Below are 19,326 nucleotides of genomic sequence, written 5' to 3'. Positions count from 1 at the left end.
GCTTAAATATTGTATAAAAATTTCAACATTTAAATAAGAACTTTTCTTAGTTATTTCTATAAAAAGAATGATTATTCTTGCTAAGTGAATTATAGTAGTTTGTATCTCTTATTAGACCTTACTCTTATGAGATTTAATGGAATATGTTAGATACAATAATAAAAAATAAACATGACAGTTTATTTTTTATTGCCTTTAGTAATCTTTGCCTTTTAGTAATCTTTTGCCTTTTAGTAATCTTTTGTATAGATTGTACTAAAATCTATGCCTTTTAGTAATCTTTTGTATAGAAATAACCTTTCACAGTTTTATATTCATCTTTCCATAGTCTATCATAATTGAGAAAGGGTAGATTCTTATAATGCCCCAGGTGAAAAGATGAAAACACCAATTCTACCTATCTATGATATACTATTTACATAAAGTGAATTGAATTTATTTAGAACAAAGAGAAAATTATAATCTTTTTGAGACAGGGTCTCACTCTGTTGCCCAGGCTGGAATACAGCGGCATGATCATAGCTCACTACAAATTTGAACTCCAGGGTACAAGCAATCTGCTTGCTTCATCCTCCTGAGTAGCTGGGACTACAGGCACACACCATTACATCTGGCTAATTTTTTTTTTTTTTTTTTTTTTTTGAGCAGAGATAAGTTCTCACTATGCTGCCCAGGCTGGTGTCAAACTCCTGGGCTCAAGTGATTCTCCCACATTGGCCTCCCAAAGTGCTGGAATTACCAGTGTGAGACATCAGCACCCGGTTGATAATGGAACTTTTAAAAAGCATCAAGTTGTTAAGTAAAAGGTTTACCTCCTTTGAATAAAACTGATGGTTAAGAAAAGGTAATATTATATCAATAGACTATGTAAGCGCTGTTAAGAATGAAAAAATATCATGACCAAGTAGGGACATATCTTATTAACTCCGGTTTTCATATAAATAAAATTCTGAAAAGTCAAGTAACTTTTCTGATATTATACAGTTGATCTGTGCCAAAGCTGAGACTCAAATTTAGATTTCTTTGAAGTCCATTTTCCTTATACTTCATATTGCTTTTGATTTAATGCAGGTCTGTTTTTTTTTCTTAAGAGAGGGGTCTCACTATGTTGCCCAAGCTAGATTTGAACTACTGGGCTCAAGTGATCCTCCCACCCTGGCCTCCCAAGTACCTGGGACTACAGGCACATGTCACTACACCTGGCTAATGAAGGTCTTCTTATGGTAAGTGTAGTCATAATAGTAATAATGATAATAAAAATATCGAATTTTCCCTCTGCTTAGAATACTTTTACCTCAAATACCTCCATGGCTTGCTCCCTCACTCCATTCAGAACTTTGCCCAAATGTAACCTTATCAATGAGGCCATCTCTGATTACCCTATATAAAATATCAATTTTCTAGGAGGTTGGTATCTCCTATTGTCCCTAATTTACTGATGAAAAAAACTGAAGCTCCAAGAAGTTAAGTGTCTTGCAGTAGGTCACGTAGAGTCAAGATCTGAAACCGGGACAATCTGACTTCTCTATTCTTAAGCACTATGCTATACTGCCTTACTATTCAAATGCACTGAAATTATGTTGTTTTTGCCTTTGGAGGACTTATCCCCCATTCCATGTGATTCTGGAAGGCCTAGCTATCATAGTATTCTGTGTCTCACAGCAAAAGGATTAGTCAATTATAGTGTATCTACCCCCAGAAATAGTGATTACTCTAACGTGTGAGAAACTGAACAAAGCGGAATCAGTCAGCATCCTTCCCTGGAATTCATACATGGACACTGGAATAAAGAAATTATTTTCCCTCTGGGTTAGCTAAGCTGAGATGACATCAGCCTTGAGCCATTAGCAATCATCTTCTTAAATCTCATAGAAGTAAACTATCTGCAGTAGAAAAAGGATGATATGGGGAATGAGAGTAGTGATAAAGATGCTCTCTTTGACCAAACTCTACCTGGGCTACTATAAGCCTTCTTCTCAACTAAGCCTCCAACTGGCCTATAAAGACTTGAACGAAACACTAACATTGTTTCTAACTGCTCAAAGCCACATCCCTAGGATGACCTTAGCCTCTCATAAAGTGCCAGCCTAAGAAAACTCAGGCTGCCAAAAAAAATTTACTGTTTATTCCACTTAACACCTAAAAATAGGGTCCCTGTCTCCTATCCTCTGTGGGAGAATAGGAGCCTAACTTTGGTAAGTGCCAGTTAGCAAACCCAGATTTTTTGTTGTTGTTCTTTTGAGATGGAGTCTTGCTCTGTTGCCCAGGCTGCAGTGCAATGGCACAATCTCGGCTCGCTGCAACCTCTGCCTCCCAGGTTCAAGCGATTCTCCTGCCTCAGCTTCCCGAGTAGCTGGGACTACAGGCGCGTGCCACCAGGCCTGGCTAATTTTTTTGTATTTTTAGTAGAGATGGGGTTTCACCATGTTAGCCAGGATGGTCTCGATCTCCTGACCTTGTGATCCACCCTCCTCGGCCTCTGAAAGTGCTGGGATTACAGGCATGAGCCACCGCACCTGGTCTTACTTTTTGTTATAATAATTTTTCACTTCCCTGACTCTACTGAGCTTGTGCTTACTCCTCCTTATTCCCTTAGTCTCCCATTAAAATGCCCAGTATAAACCGAAGTTCAATTCAGTCCACACTGGACTCTTTTCTCTGTTGCAACAGCATATTACTGATTAAAATATTTAGCTAGTGTTTGGCTTTGTTTACCTTTGACAGTAGGAACAGGATCTATTCAACCATTGACTTCCCAGTTACATAAGCCAATACATTTCCTTTTTTGCATAAGGTAGTTTACATTAGATTTCTCTTATTTATAACCAAAAGAATTATAAGGCCTAATCACAACAACAACAACAACAACAAAACATGAAAGTTGGAAAGGTATGGATAAATAGGCATAATGAAAAGAAGTATAAAGTTATAAATGAAAAAGAACAGATAAAGTGATTCGTCTAATAGAGACAATAGATTTAGAATAGGGACTATCTCTGGCAATGAGTCAAAGGCAGCTCATCTATACAGGAAATCCAAGAGCACCATGACAAATCTTATATGACTGCAGATGCTGAATATATTAGGAACAGGAAAGGAACTCATTGGACTCCAAACCTCAGCTTGGTTCCAAATGTGTTAAAGTAAAAGATAAGTCTAAAAACATAACAAAATATAGTATATTCTGAAAATAATTTGCATTCCTAAGGAATTATTCCAACTGCAATGCTGTCTACTTGGTTTGGAGCCACAGCCCCCATTCTTGTTGGATAAGGTTCCACAGTGCTTACCCACTACAGTCCTACAGATAGACACTAGAGTAGCAGGCTAACTGGAAGGCAGTACATGTTATCAGGGGAAGCTGAAACAATTCTGTAATACAAATTAAATTCCCTATAGAAAAAGGTACTTGCTGATAGCTGCTATCCCCTAAGAACTTCAATTTCAACCAGTCTGACAGCACAATAAGTAGTTTCCAGGAAAATACATGTAAGGGAAACTTATGCTTTCTCTATGGGTCTGCCCCTTGTATATCTGAGAAACTTCCTTATTACCTAAAACATGTTTTCTTTTGTTTAAAGTAGATCAGGGTGCCAAATCAAATAAGTAAATTCCCTATCATTTTTATTATCTGTATTAACAGTCCCTTAGATTAGGATTTGTATTTAGTGACTACTTTAGGACACTAAATATAAAGTTACTAAAATTATTGTTCTTTATAATGATATTATTAAGTAAATTTTAAATAAAGTGATTAGGGCCGGGCACAGTGACTCACTCATGCCTGTAATCCCAGCACTTTGGGAGGCCAAGGCAGATCGATCACTTGAGGTCAGGAGTTTGAAACTAGCCTGGCCAACATGGTGAAACCCCATTTCTACTAAAAATACAAAAATTAGCTGGGTGTGGTAACACACGCCTGTAGTCCCAGCTACTTGGGAGGCTGAGGCAGGAGAATCACTCGAACTCGGGAGCTGGAGGTTGCAGTAAGCCGAGATCACGCCCTTTCACTCCAGCCTGGGTGACAGAGTGAAACTCTGTCTCAAAAAAATAAATAAATAATAAATAACAAATAAATAAATAAGTGATTAGATCTTGAATGTTACAAACAGTAAACATCACTTACCTTGAAATTTTCTGTGATCAGAGTGAACAACTTGGTGGAATTCCCCACAGCACAAGCAGTATTTGACATTATTATTTCCAAAGGTGATAAAATTTTAAGTTTAGTGATCACCTGAAATCATTTGAATAAACAATTTCTTAAATAAAGCTTAGGAAATAAAAGTTTCATATTTTTCTGAGATAAGTATTTAAAATTAATTCATAGATACACAAAATTATAACTGTCCTAATGATATATTTCAATTAAAATATGTTTCTAGCCAGGTGGGTTCACACCTGTAATCCCAGCACTTTGGGAGGCTGAGGTGGGCAGATCACTTGAGGCCAGGAGTTCGAGACCCACCTGGCCAACATGGTGAAACCCTGTCTCTACTAAAAAAAAAAAAAAAAAAAAAATACAAAAATTACCCGAGCATGGTGGTGCATGCCTGTAATCCCAGCTACTCAGGAGGCTGAGGCATGAGAATAGTTTGAGCCCAGGGGGCAAAGGTTGCAGTGAGCTGAGATCACACCAGGCACCTTTGCACGCCAGTCTAGGTGGCAGAGGGAAAATCTGTCTCAAAAACAGACAAACAAACACCACCACCACCAATAACAATAAAATATATATGTATATATATTTCTAATGGTAGTATATTGAACATATATCTCCTATATAACTACTAACATAAAATACTGTCATAAAATAGGCTATATTTTACTCACAATAGTTTCTAACAGCCTTAAGTTCAAAAATTAATTTGAACTTATCAAATATATATTCCCAAAATAAAATTGTTTTTAAATAAATTCTTATACTTAGTATTTTATCCAAATACTCTGTGAAAAATGTAAATACATCCAATAAGGGTAACTATGGGCCAGGGGAGGTGGCTCACGCCTGTAATCTCAGCACTTTGGGAGGCCAAGGCGACTGCATCACTTGAGGTCAGGAGTTCACAACCAGCTTGGCCAACATGGTGAAACCCTGTCTCTACTAAAAATACAAAAATTAGCCAGGCTTGGTGGTGTGCACATGTAATCCCAGCTACTTGGGAGGCTGAGGCAGGCTGAGGCAGGAGAATTGCTTGAACCCGGAAGGCAGAGGTCGCAGTGAGTCAAGATTGTGCCACTGCACTCCAACCTGGCAACCTGGGCAACAAAGTGAGACATTGTCTCAAAAAAAAAAAAAAAAAAAAAGGGTAACTATGGCAATACAATCAGTATGGCCACACTGGTACAGATTAACTGTTGAAAAGTACATAAACACAGATGAGAAACATCTGCCTTATGGCTTAGCTTTTCATAAAATAAGGTGTATTTCTTAGAACTATTCCAAACACAGAAATTCTCAATTTGTCTAACATTCCTTTTTTTTAAAAACTTTTTTCCTACTCTTTTGAAATTGTAAAAATGTATAAAATACCTACAGATGAAGTTAGTATGCAATACTAGTATCATTAAGGTTGTTAGGTATAATAAAAAATTAATTATTAGGAAAGGGAAGTCTACACACTGGAGGACCATAAAGAGGGACTAAAGGAAGAGAATTAAAAAATAATGAAACACTTGAAATAAAACACTAGATCACATCTTCAAAATAATAATTAACTAGGCTCGATGGCTCATGCCTATAATTCTAGCACTTTGGGAACCCGAGGGGCAATTCAACTTCTGAGGGGGCAGGATCACTCGAGTCTAAGGAATTTGAGACTAGCTTGGGTAACAGAGCAAGACCCCATCTATACAAAAAAAATTTAAAAATCAGCTCTATGTGGTGGTGCATGCCTGTGGTCCCTGCTACTCAAGAGGCTGAGGTGGGAGGCTGCAGTGAGTCACGATCATGCTACTGCACTTCAGCCTAGGCAAAAGAGCAAGACCTTTTAAAAATAAAATAAAATAATAATTGAGTTAAATAACATAGAAATTAGGAGTAAACTATCTCTACCTGATAGATCATGCAAATTCCCATGACAATAGGCGAGTGGCCCAAATGAATGATGAGTGATATAAAATGAAGGCAAAATAAGAAGTGAAGGCAAGAAATTAAGAGGCTAAATTCTGACTGATCTAAGATACTAGTTTTCTTTACCTCTGAAAAAATAAAATTCAAATACAGTTCAGTAGAAATAACTCTCTGGAGTTAGCATTATCATGGGTTTGGGCCATAATCCTGAAAGACACAATCTCAAATGCCATAATCCTGAATGTCAAAATCCCAAAAGAGCAAAATCCTTAAAGTCTAAAAATCCCCAGAACCCCAATACCAAAAGACCAAAATCCCAAAAACACAGTTCTGGAAGAAATAACTTCAAAAACAATTTTAAGACATTGATTTGCATTTTTAAAAGGGGATTTATTTGAGAAACATATAAAAACAGAACAGTACACTTCATAGGCCACTTTACACAATAAAATAGGCAATAATAACTTTTTTGCAAGCATGAACACTTAAGTGTACTAATGACAGTCACACAGGTATAATAACAGTTATGAGCAGACAAATTGTATTCACAAAAAAATTAGTCAAAAATTAGAAATTAGTCAAAAAGCAAAATGTATAAATGCATATCACTATGGTTGGTAATTGTCTGCACCAAGCTTCATAAATATGGTCATCTGAAATACCACCAGGGACAACCTAAGTCTTTTGATGAGATAGATCAAAAACTTCTATGGGTCACCACATACACAGTTGCCTGAAGAGCTAAGATTTCAAGAAATAAATTTTATCTTTCACAAATAAATGATGTACAAAAAGGACATGTCTTCATTTATCAAAAAAATTTCAACATTTTAATGTATATGCACAATGCTTACACACAGTCAATGTTGTGATAACGAACTTCTGTGGAGTCAAATTTCTGATGTCCAAGGCAGCAGCAGAAGAGTCTGTCCCAGCTCTTAGAGAGAGACAAATGCAATTTCTGTATTTGCTCTCTCTGGGCCCTGGTCAACTGCAAGGTGCCCACCAACACTAAGGGCAGATTTTCACCGCCTAGTCCACTCAGACTCACCCACTCATCTCCTCTGGAAGCAACCTCACAGACACAGCCCAAATAATGCTTTACTAGGTATTTTTTTAATACAGTCAAGTTGTCACCTATACTTAAATCCACAAGTCTATCCCTTGCCAATTTGGCACCCCTATGCATCTCCTTAAACCATACCTAATTTCCAAATAAAATAATAAGGTAGTAGTATTGCCTAATATGATGCATCTAACATGATGCAACTATCTTGTGTACAACCAAAAACGCATTAATCCCTTCCCTAGAATTAAGCTTTCAGGATTTCAACATTAAGGATTTTGATCTTTCAAGATTTGAACATCGGGATTATGGCATTTGGGATTGTGTCTTTAAGGATTATGATCAGTACCACATTATCACATATATTACCTTTGGAATAAATCCAGAAATTATTAATTTGAAGATGTTAATTTTAGAAACTAATACTAACAATAGCTTATTTAAATAACAGTAAAACACACTCTTTTTGGACAAAATATATTTAAAAAATAAAAATCAGATATAACACAGTTTTATTTTAATTCAGAGTATTTACATTGACATAATAATGAATAACCTTTATTCTACCAAAAAGTAAACAAATTGGGAAGGCACTGACTTTAAACTCTAGATACTGCCTAACAGAGCAACCATTTTCTAGAATTATTAATACTTACCTTTGCATATGTTGTGTTGTCTGCAAACTGGGATAGTATAATTTGGGGGTTTTTTAAATCAATACTTGCCATTCCTATTTCACCTCTGGCAAGTCCTCTCCCTTCTACAACAGCTACAATAACTGATGGGGAGTGTGCAGAAATCGCAGATGAGGATGAAGCTGTAAATTTTTAAATAAAGAAAAGATATAAACATTGATAATAATCATTTCTTTTTTTAAAAAAAACTAGGAAATTCTTAATCAAGAGGACAAAATAATGCAATCTGTAGATATCAGTTAGCCTCTTATTTCAATTCTCCCTAAAGGATCTATTGGTTCAGTACAACTATAATTTCAATCAAAACCTCAATATGTTTTTTGGTGGAGCTTGAAAAATTGGCCCAAAATTTACATGGAAGAGCAAAGGGCCAAGAAGAATCAAGACTCCTCTAAAGAAGAGTAAGGTGGCTTGTGGAGGGTACAGGTGGCAAGGCTGTCCTACAAAATATCAAGACTTATTATAAAGCTAAAGATGGTGTGATATTGGCACACAGCTAGACATAATGACCCATCAGAGTTAAAAAAGAACTAGAAACATAGAAACTAACAGAAAAGGCCGGGCGCGGTGGCTCATGCCTGTAATCCCAGCACTTTGGGAGGCCGAGGTGGGCGGATCACAAGGCCAGGAAATCGAGACCATCCTGGCTAACACGGTGAAACCCCATGTCTACTAAAAATACAAAAAATTAGCCAGGCGTGGTGGCAGGTGCCTGTGGTCCCAGCTACTCGAGAGGCTGAGGCAGGAGAATGGCGTGAACCCGGGAGGCGGAGCTTGCAGTGAGCCGGGATCGCGCCACTGCACTCTAGCCTGGGCTACAGAGCGAGACTCCTTCTCAAAAAAAAAAAAAAAAAAAAAAAAAAAAAACCAAACAGAAAAGTCATCAAAATATTTATTACTCAGAATATATAAAGTATTGCTACAAATCCAGAAAAATAAGCCTAAAGAAAAATGAGTAAAAGACATGAACATTAATTTCACAGACCATTATTAAAGATATATAGCCCAAAAGTACAGAAAAAGATAATCTCACTAGTAATCAGGAAAATGCAAACTCAGAAAATAAAAAACTCAGGTAGTATTTTACAACTGTTAGGTTGGAAAATATTGAGTCTAACAATATCAAATGTTGAAGTGGACTCTTACACATTGTTAATAAGAGCATACCATAATAACCAATAAATTAACCAATACAATTTATTATGATAATGATTATTGGCTAATTTAATAATAATCTTATGATGATGATGATGATTACTAAATTAGCCAATAATCATAATAAATTTTAGAAGTTAGTAATGATGAGGATAGAGTAAGATTGGCTTACCTTATACACTATTGATGGAATTAAAAATTAGTCCAGTTCTCAAAAGAAACTTGGCAATATATCTGAGATTCTTAAAAACTGGTAATTTTGGCCAGGCGCAGTGGCTCATAACTGTAATCCTAGCACTTTGTGAGGCTAAGGTGGGAGGATCACTTGTGGCCAGGAGTTCGAGACCAGCCTGGCCAACATGGCGAAACCCCATCTCTACTAAAAAAAAAAAATTGGCTGAGCATGGTGATGCATGCCTGTAATCCCAGCTACTCGGGAGGCCGAGGCAGGAGAATCACTTGAACCCAGGAAGTGGATGTTGCAATGAGCCGAGATGGTGCCACTGCACTCCAGCCTGGGCAATAGAACAAGGCTTCGTCTCAAAAACCAAAAAAAAAAAAAAACAAAAAATGGTAATTAAAAAAAATAAAAAAGGTAATTTCCCTATGTTTCAGTAATTTGACTTCTAAGGGTGTGTTTTAAGGAAATAATAAGAGACTCAGAAAAAAGCTTTATGTATTAGGATGCTCATTATTATGTTATTTACAACAGAGAGATAACAGCATAAATGTATTTTTAGAACCTTAGAGATGTCTTTTATATGTCTATTGAATTTCCACTGGAACTTGGTATTTATTTTCTACTTAAAAATAAACAGGTCAGGGCTGGGTGCGGTGGCTCACACCTGTAATCCCAGCACTTTAGGAGGCCAAGGTGGGCGGATCATGAGGTTAGGAGTTCAAGACCAGCCTGGCCAATATGGTAAAACCCTGTCTCTACTAAAAATACAAAATTAGCCAGGCGTGGTGGTGCATGCCTGTAATCTCAGCTACTCGGGAGGCTGAGGCAGGAAAATTGCTTGAATCCAGGAGGCAGAGGTTACAGTGAGCCAAGTTGTGCCACTGCATTCCAGCCTGGGCGACAGAGCAAGGCTCCATCTCAAACAAATAAAAATAAAAATAAAAGTAAATAAAAAGGTCAGCCAGGCACAGTGGCTCATGCCTGTAATCCCAGCACTTTGGGAGCCAAGGTGGGTGGATCATGAGGTCAGGAGTTCGAGACCAGCCTGGCCAGTATGGTGAAACCCCATCTCTACTAAAAATACAAAAATTAGCCGGGCGTGGTAGCAAGCACCTGTAGTCCCAGCTACTCAGGAGGCTGAGGCAGAAGAATCACTTGAACCCGGAAAGCAGACATTGCAGTGAGTCGAGATCACACCACTGCATTCCAGCCTGGGCGACACAGTGAGATTCTGTCTCAAAAAATTAAAAAAAAAAAAAAAAAAAAAGGAAGGTCATATTCTACTACAGAGCTAAAACTGACTTCTGTAGATCTAATATAAACTTAACTACCATTTATACTTTGGTAGAACTACTTTAAAAAATAATTTGTCATTATCTTATAAATATATGCATTTACATAACTTACCCTGTAACCAAGAAATTCTGTTGTATATACCTTAGAAAACTGTTATACATGAAAACCTATTTTATCTATCTACTCTTCAAGAAAATCTCATAGATTTAGATAAAAATTAAAATTTAAGTATAAAAAAACCACTCACTAGTAATATCAGGGTCAACTTTTAGATTTAAATGCCATCATGTATAAAAGGGAGAGGTTTCTCTTTCTTGTGTGTTTTTTTGTCAGAATGGTTAAAATAATGTAGACTTACATTTATTAACAAACAATTTCAGAAACTATGTTGCCTTATTAATCTAGACTCAAATTATGGATAGAGGTAAACTAATGTATTTATTTTTCATTCATATCAGTTATAGATAAATTCAAATGAACTTAATAACCCTAATTTATAATTTATAAAACTTTTAAGTTTCAAAACATCATCTAGGTTAATCTTCCACTTATTTTACCTGAATATCCCACTTGTGGTGTCCAGCTCTTATAACCTGATCTCTGAGGATTTCCAGTAGACAATGGAGTTTTAAGTGTTTGAGGATAATTAGTATCTCGTGCAGAAGATGAGCTTGCACCAAAAGTAAAATTTGATGCAACTGTGTTTTCTGCATAAGCTCTTTTGTTTCCAAAGTATGAACCTAAATTTGAAAAATTAACAGTCAATTCTTAAAGATTTGAATTATGCAATGATGTATTAGTCATTATAATTTATACCATGTTCACTTTCCTTTTTTTTCTTTTTTTCTTTTTTGAGACAGAGTCTTGCTCTTGTCGCCCAGGCTGGAGCGTAGTGGCATGATCTCGGCTCACTGCAACGTCCACCTCCCAAGTTCAAGTGATCCTCCTGCCTCAGCCTCCCGAGTAGCTGGGATTACAGGCACCCGCCACCACGCCTGGTGAATTTTTGTATTTTTAGTAGAGATGGGGTTTCACCATGTTGGCTGGGCTGGTCTCGAATTCCTGACCTCATGATCTGCCTGCCTCGGCCTCCCAAAGTGCTGGGATTAGAGGCCTGAGTCACCGCACCCAACCACTATGTTCACTTTCTATAAAATTTCATGTGAAAATGATTTTTGAAAATAAACAGATTATAACAAAATTAATGACATTATTGATAAATATACAAAAATATGCTAATATAGCTTTTGCCTCTACAAGTTCACTGCAACTACTCTGGCTAAAATCATAAATTACCCTTTAATCTTCAAATATACCAGATGTGTTGCTAAGGTATGAATATCTGTCCCCTCTGAAACTTACATTGAAATTTAATCCCCAGTGAAGTGTGGCAGGACAGAGGTGGGGCCTTTAAGAGGTGATGGGGCATGAGGGCTCTGCCTTCATGAATGAATTAATCCATTCATGATTTAATAGGTTAATGGGTTATCACGAGAGTAGGACTGGTGGTTTTATAAGAAGAGGATGAGAGACCTGAGCTACCATGCTCAGCTCCCTCTCCATGTGATGCCCTGTACCACTACAGGACTCTACAGAGACTCCACCAGCACAAAGACCCTCACTAAATGTGCCTCCTTTGACCTTGGACTTCCCAGCCTCCAGACTTCCAAGAAATATGTTTTCTTTCTTGATAATCACCCAGTTTCAAGTATTCTTTTAAAAGCAACAGAATACAGACTAAGACATATGTTTCATTTGTATAATAATTATTAGACCTCTTTTAACCTTCTTCTGTTAATTTCTTCATTGAATTTCTCTCCCCTATGCAAATGGCATTTTAGACTCAATTGGCTTCAGTTCCTTATTTAGGTACTTATCTACTGATGTAAGCTATTACCTATTTTACAGGATTGTCATAAAATTTTTAAATAATGTACATAAACAACCTAGCATAGCCTCTTGGCACATAGAAGTTCTAAAAAAATTTTAAAATGTTTGGGCTCTGTTCACCTATTCTCTTTGATTTCCACAACTCTCTATCTTGAATTCTCTTTAAACCACTTTTAGTTTCCTTTGCCATCTCCTTTTTCCTCTGCTTCTTAACTGTTGGCCTCCAGGGCTTCATACTTTTAAGCTTTCCCTCACAAATCAACATTATGCATCTCCAGGCATCTCATCTCTCCTCTTTGTTTCTATTAACATCTATTTTCTGACAACTCTCAAGCCTTCGTATATAGCTGTAACGACTCCTTAAACTGTAAACCAGGGGTTGCTAAACTTTTAATTTTTCCTTTTTGTCTGTATGTGAGACTCTCGTTCTGTAGCTTAGGCTGGAATTCAGTGGTGTGATCTTGGCTAAATGCAGCCTTGAACTCCTGGGCTCAAGCAATCCTCCTACCTCACCCTCCCGAGTAGCTGGGACTATAGGCTCATGCCACCATGCCAGGCTAATTTTTTGTATTTTTGTAGAGATGGGGTTTTGCCATGTTGCCCAGGCTGGTCTCAAACTCCTGGGCTCAAGTGATCTTCCCATCTCAGCCTCCCAAAATGCTGGGATTATAATCGGGAGCCACCATGCCCAGTCTATTTTACTGTCTTATAAAGACAAGGTCTCTCTTTGTCGCCCAGACTGGAGTGCAGTAGTGTGATCACAGCTCACTGCAGCCTCAAGCTCATGGGCTCAAGTAACCTCCTGCTTCAGCCTCTTGAGTAACTATGGACTATAGGTGCACCTCACCACACACAGCTAATTTTTTTTTTATAGAGACAGGGTCTTGCTACATTGCCCAGGCTGATCTCAAACACCTGGCCTCAAGCAATCCTCCCACTTCAGCCTCCCAAAGCACTGAGATTACAAGCATAAGCCACCATGCCTCAGCATAAACTTTTTTTTTTTTTTTTTGAGATGGAGTTTCACTCTTGTTGCCCAGGCTAGAGTGCAATGGCGCAATCTCAGCTCACTGCAGCCTCTGCCTCCCAGGTTCAAGCAATCCTCCTGCCTCAGCCTCCCAAGCAGCTGGCATTATAGGCATGCCCACCACACCTGGCTATTTTTTTTTTGTATTTTTAATAGAGACAGGGTTTTGTCATGTTGGCCAGACTGGTCATGAACTCCTGGCCTCAGGTGATCTGCCCACCTCAGCCTCCCAAAGTGCTGGGATTATAGGCATGAGCCATCATGCCCAGCCCATAAACTTTTAAATAAAGGACCAGATGGCAAATATTTTAGGCTTTTGTGGGCCATATAATCACTGTCACAATTACTCAGCTCTGACACTATCATAGAAAAGCAGTCATAGATAATACATAAATAAATGAGAATGGCTATGTTTCAATTAAAAATGGCTTTATTTCTACATATTGAATTCTAAATTTCATATAATTTTAATATCACAAAATATTCTTGATTCTTTAATCCTTCAAAAGTGCAAAAACCGTTCTCAGCTCTATACCTGCATTGTTCAATAAAGCAGCATATGTGAGTATTTAACTAAATCAAAATTAAATACAATTTAAATTCTGTTCCTCAGTCACACTAGCAACATTTTCAAATGCTCAAAAGCCACATACGGCTACTAGTTACCACATCGGACAGCATAAGTATGAAACGTTTCTATTATCACAGAATATTCTATCAGACAATGTAGCTCCAGGTCACTATATCTATCTCTTGGGCATAAACCTTTAGGTATCTTCCCAGCATTCTAAATGTCCAAAAGTGAACTCTATCTTTCCCTCAAAATTAATTCTTTATTACCAGTATGGTTAATTGTACCAGCTTGTCCCTTGTCACTCAAGTCATAAGCTTAGGAGACATTCTCAATTCTTCCTTCATCAACCCTAACACTCAGTGACTGAGTGCTAGAATTCTTTTTTTTTAACATCACTAAAATTTAAATCCCTCTCTACTCCTCCCAGCCCATTTTAAGCCTGTATCTTCTTTGGTCCTTGTGCAAGTTTCCTACTTCTTCTTCTCCTTGCTTCCAGTATTACACCTCTCTAATCTATTCTTCGAATCATCACCAATAATCTTTCTGAAAAGCAAATCTGATCAGTATCTCTCTTTCTTACAATTCCTATGTGTCTCCCCATACTCACCATAGGGTAAAATATAACTTCATTATATGGGTTCCAGCAGGAATCAATGATATACTCAAACTGGGATAATTTGATAAAGAGAATATTTACAAAGGTGTGGACAGGGTGTAGGGGTGCTATCATAAAGACGTGTGTAGAACCAGCATAAAATGTGCTCCATTAGCATTTCTAGGCTTTAGGGAGCTAAGGAAGAGAGTGGTTGCCAGAAACTGGAGATGCGGAAACTGGAGATGGAGAGGGCTGTTTCTTGTTCTCAGACTACTTTTAGACTATATACCCTTTCTTGAAACTCATTCACTTGTCTTAATTCTCCTCCTACTTCCTTGACCTCTATTTTGCTATATAGTCTTCATATTCTCTGCTGTGGTCCCAACATACTGGTAACTTTCAAATCCATATTTCCCTCAAGTTTCTCTCTTCTTAGCTCTAGTTTCCTATATTCAATTATCTTAATATAAATATATGGATATCCCACAGGCTTTTCACACTCAGCATGTCCATAACAGAGCTCATCATCTTCCCTCTAAAATTTGCTTTGCCTACAAAATTCCCAGAATCAGAAAATACTACTACCATCTATCCAGTCACCAAAACCAGAGACCTGGTGTTGAATATGGGGGGTCTCTGGGTTAAATTTGTCTCCCAGATCTAATTCTCACAACTATATCTACATTCAAGTTTATCTACCTAGATCACTCTCCTGCTCTAGCCAAGCAAAATTATTAGCAGTTTTACATGATTCTTCTGTGCCTTTGCACGTGTTTTTCTCAAGAATGCGCTCCAGCTGTTTCCCTTTGGCTGGCATTCTTCTTCCTACTTATTCTTGAAGACCAGTTCAAGGTGCACTTACTCTGTGAAATGTCTTTTCCCACTTTTGTCCCCATACTTTAATTATACCTACCTCAAAAATTATAAATACCTCAAATACAGTTATTTCTTAAATGTGTATTTGTTGATTTTTAAGTCTGTCTTCTCTACTGAACCTTAAGTTCATTGAGAGCACAGATTATTATCCCCAGCTGCTAACATAATTTGAACCTTTGTTCGCCTATTTGGGCCTTGGTTCTATCTGTAAAACAGGAACAAAAAAAAAATCTACTCTGCAAAATTATTGTGAGGATCAAAGATACCGTCTGCCTAGTAAGAAGCCAGAACAAAGTAGGTGCATATAAATTAGTGAATGTTATCATTACTGATAAATAAGTGGGTGACCAAGCATCTGATGAAGAGAGGGATTAGACTGACAATGTGAACATTCATGTTGCTTTAAAGGAATTGCAAGTAGCTCAGTTTTGTTAGAAAGCAGGGTAAATATTAAATGATGAGGGATAAATCTGTAAAGATTAGAAACCGATCCCAATTGCTTTGGCTATCCTTCTAGAGAGTTTGATCTTTTACCTGCAGATACAGGTCTACTGATTTAAGTGGCAAGGGACATGATAAGATCATTTTCCACATAACTCTGGTGGTACAGTAAGTAAGCTACAAGGATGGAAGAACACTTAAGAGTTTGAGGGCTAGGTGCAGTGGCTCACACCTGTAATCCCAGCATTTTGGGAGGCTGAGGTAGGAGGATCGCTTGAGCCTAGAAGTTCGAGACCAGGCTGGGCAACGTAGGAAAACACTGTCTCTACAAAAAAATTTTTTAAATTAGCCATCTGTAGGGGCACATGCCTTGGTCCCAGCTACTCGGGAGGCTGAGGTGGGAGGATCGCTTGAGCCCAGGAATTTGAGGCTGCAGTGAGTCATGACCATGCCACTGCACTCCAGCCTGGGCAACAGAGCAAGACTCTGTCTCAAAAAAAAAAAAAAAGTGCAGAGAGGAATTTAATTAATCATATAGTCAGCCTGAGGTATCCATTAGTCCATCAATAAAAACTTCAGAAGACAGTCTGAAGTAAGTCTGGAGTGTAGATGAGATCTGAGCTGTGGAGATAGTCACATCTAGGTAGAAGTGGCCTAGGAAAAAAAGCTTTAATGACATGCCCATAATTTGGGAACAAAGGTGGGCACAGCAATTCTCTGGGAGGTAGCAGAAAAACAGGGGCAAGTGGAATCAAGGAAGCCAAATTAAAAGAGTTTAAGAGAAGACCAGTCAAGAACATTAAACATAGGCCAGGCAGCAGTGGCTCATGCCTGTAATCCCAATGCTTGGGCAGACCGAGGCAGGAGCACTTGAGACCAGGAGTTTGAGACCAGCATGGGCAGCATAGCGAGACTCTGTTTCTAAAAATAAAGAAATTAAGAACATTAAATACAGCAGAAAGGTCACATGAGATGAACTGAAAAATGACCATTGGATTTGGTATTTGTTACTTTACCATTGTGTTGCAATCGTGTGTGAAAAATGGTGATGCTTTGTCATGAATAGAGACTAACAAAATAATAAATGATTTGAAGGACATGCATCTTTTTTGTTTGTTTGTTTTGAGTCAGGGTCTCACTGTGTCACCCAGGCTGAAATGCAGTGGCGCAATCTCAGCTCACGGCAGCCTCGACCTCCCGGACTCGCCATCCTCCCACCTCAACCTCCTGAGTAGCTGGGACCACAGTCACGTGCCACCACACCCAGATAATTTTTGTACTTTTAGTAGAGATAGGGGATGGGGGTGGGAGGTTCACCATGTTGGCCAGGCTGGTGTGGAACTCCCGGCCTCAAGTGATCCGCCCACCCTGGTTTCCCAAAGTGCTGGGATTACAGGCGTCAGCCACCGCCCAGCCCACTCTTTTAATACTAAACATATTATTTTCCCTGAATTAGATGAAATGTTCAATTTAATCTATTTTATCCCACCTTAGCAGGATTTGGAGAATTAAATTCAGCAGCCAAAGATCAGCTCACAACTTCTATCAGCAAACTCACGCACAAACTGTCATTTGTCAGACACTGTGAGGGACGTTATATGGGATACTTCAGCCTTTCTCAGAACTGAGCCATCCACAGTCAAGGTCTTGCAATAGAACCAATTTGAAAAGTCAAGGCTTCTAATCACCCAGACTCACCAAATTCCCAGGGCACTCAGATCTCACGCCCCAACCAAATCACAACTTCACTGTGGTAACCACCACCCACGTGCCCCCGAGCCTCCATGAACTGCCGGCCTCTAGCCTCAAGGAGACTCCTCCACCCAATCACTCCTTGCCTTGAGCTGGCCGGGAGTTTGGCGCGGGGCAGGGAAGGCTGCTGCTGCTGCTGCTCCGGTCGCCCGCAGCTCCTGACGTGCCAGGACAGGTGGATGCAGAGACCACCTGGACCGAAGGGCGGCTCTGTGGAGTCTCCTGGAGTCCGAAATTGTAGCGGGGACCCTGAGGTGAGCGGGTTTCTCCCGACGACGGGGAAACCGCCGGGGCAGAAGGCGAGGTTGATGAGATCTCAGGCCTCAGCATCCTCCCAAACCTTCCCTGACCCGAGAAGTATGAGGTTTCTGAGCGACCCCTCCAGTAGCCCAACTACAGAAGCTGCGCCGCTGAAACGGGCGGGAGAACTGCGCGCCGACGCACTAAGCTGCACTGCGCAGGCGCAGGCAGGCTCAGCTTTCCACATGGATTCACGTACTTCAGGTCTATGACCCTGCTTCCAGCCATTCCCAAACCCATCACTTTCCACATGAACCTCACTGGAACATCCTCAGCCTGCAGGTATCAGACTGACCAGAACTCTGCAAGGCCCATCAATGACCACCCGATTTGTTAGCCCCATTATTCTCACAGCACCCAATCTCCCTTATTGCAAATGTTACATGCATTTCCCACACGTCCAAGCACACTAGCTTATCTTTAAATGTAGAAACCACCCAACACAGTACACCCAGTGCCTTTGACACAATGAGAACGTGTAATGCTCACACAGCATAACCCACCTAAGGTTGATCTTGTGACCAAATATAGGAAAGATAGTTATATTATCAAAAGATAGTATGCACATGGCTGTGTGCATAGTAGAGTAGGAAACAGGGAAAGACTGACTGGGTAAGATCTCTCAGTTAACAATTCCCCATCTACCAATTTCTAGTACTGTGGTTTCTAACATATAAATCAGTTAATGGCACACTAGAAGTTCAAACTCCAGCTTTGCAGTGGTGACCTTTAGAAAATTCCTTAAATAAGGCCAATAGTACCAACTTACCAGAGATCCATGGATTAAACATGACGAAATTATCTGGATACTGCCATACAGAAGCTATTAGAAGACATTAATTTACACCACTACTGAAATCCTGCCACTGTTGAGTATCTCAATAAACCAGTTATGCACAGCGGTTTACCCACATGCAGTGACAACAGTCCTTAAGAACATCTCTGTTCTTGGAATGATTATTGCACAGGGCATTCCAAACATACTTGAGAAAAATCTCAATTTCCATCAAAAAACCTTATTTTCAGATCGGGCACGATGGCTCCTCCCTGTAATCCCAGTACTTTGGGAGACTGAGGCCAGAGGATTACTTCACCTCCGGAGACCAGCCTGGGGAAGACAGTGCCTGTCCCCAAAATTAAGAAATCAGCTGGGCATAGTGGGCATGGTGGCAGGTACCTGTAGACCCTGGTACTCAGGAGGCTGAGGTGGAAGGACTGCTTGAGCCCAGGAGTTTAAGGTTACAGTGAGCTGTGATTGCACTACTATGCCCCAGCCTGGGGAAGAAAGGAAGACCCTGTCTCTAAAAAATAAAATTTAAAAATAGAGAATACCTCACTTTCACCAAAACTGTAAACCCCTAGAGTGATTGTACTCATTTTAGGCCAGGCGTGGTGGCTCACGCCTGTA

At 39.2% G+C, this 19,326-nt stretch overlaps 1 protein-coding gene across 1 annotated transcript in view; it reads right to left on the bottom strand.

Moving 5' to 3' along the window:
- MSH4 (mutS homolog 4) overlaps positions 1 to 18,052 on the bottom strand; it is a 116,361-nt gene extending 98,309 nt beyond the window's left edge. Inside the window, exons 1-4 of the mRNA NM_002440.4 lie at positions 17,705 to 18,052; positions 11,021 to 11,203; positions 7,793 to 7,953; positions 4,127 to 4,237 (exon numbers count right to left, since the gene is read on the bottom strand). Coding sequence (NP_002431.2) covers positions 4,127 to 4,237; positions 7,793 to 7,953; positions 11,021 to 11,203; positions 17,705 to 17,948 — 699 coding nt within the window. The 5' untranslated portion in view covers positions 17,949 to 18,052. The remainder of the gene's footprint in view (positions 1 to 4,126; positions 4,238 to 7,792; positions 7,954 to 11,020; positions 11,204 to 17,704) is intronic.

Source organism: Homo sapiens, chromosome 1, assembly GCF_000001405.40.
Source record: "Homo sapiens chromosome 1, GRCh38.p14 Primary Assembly".
NCBI lineage: Eukaryota > Metazoa > Chordata > Mammalia > Primates > Hominidae > Homo > Homo sapiens.
This window is presented reverse-complemented; position numbering and strand designations above follow the sequence as displayed.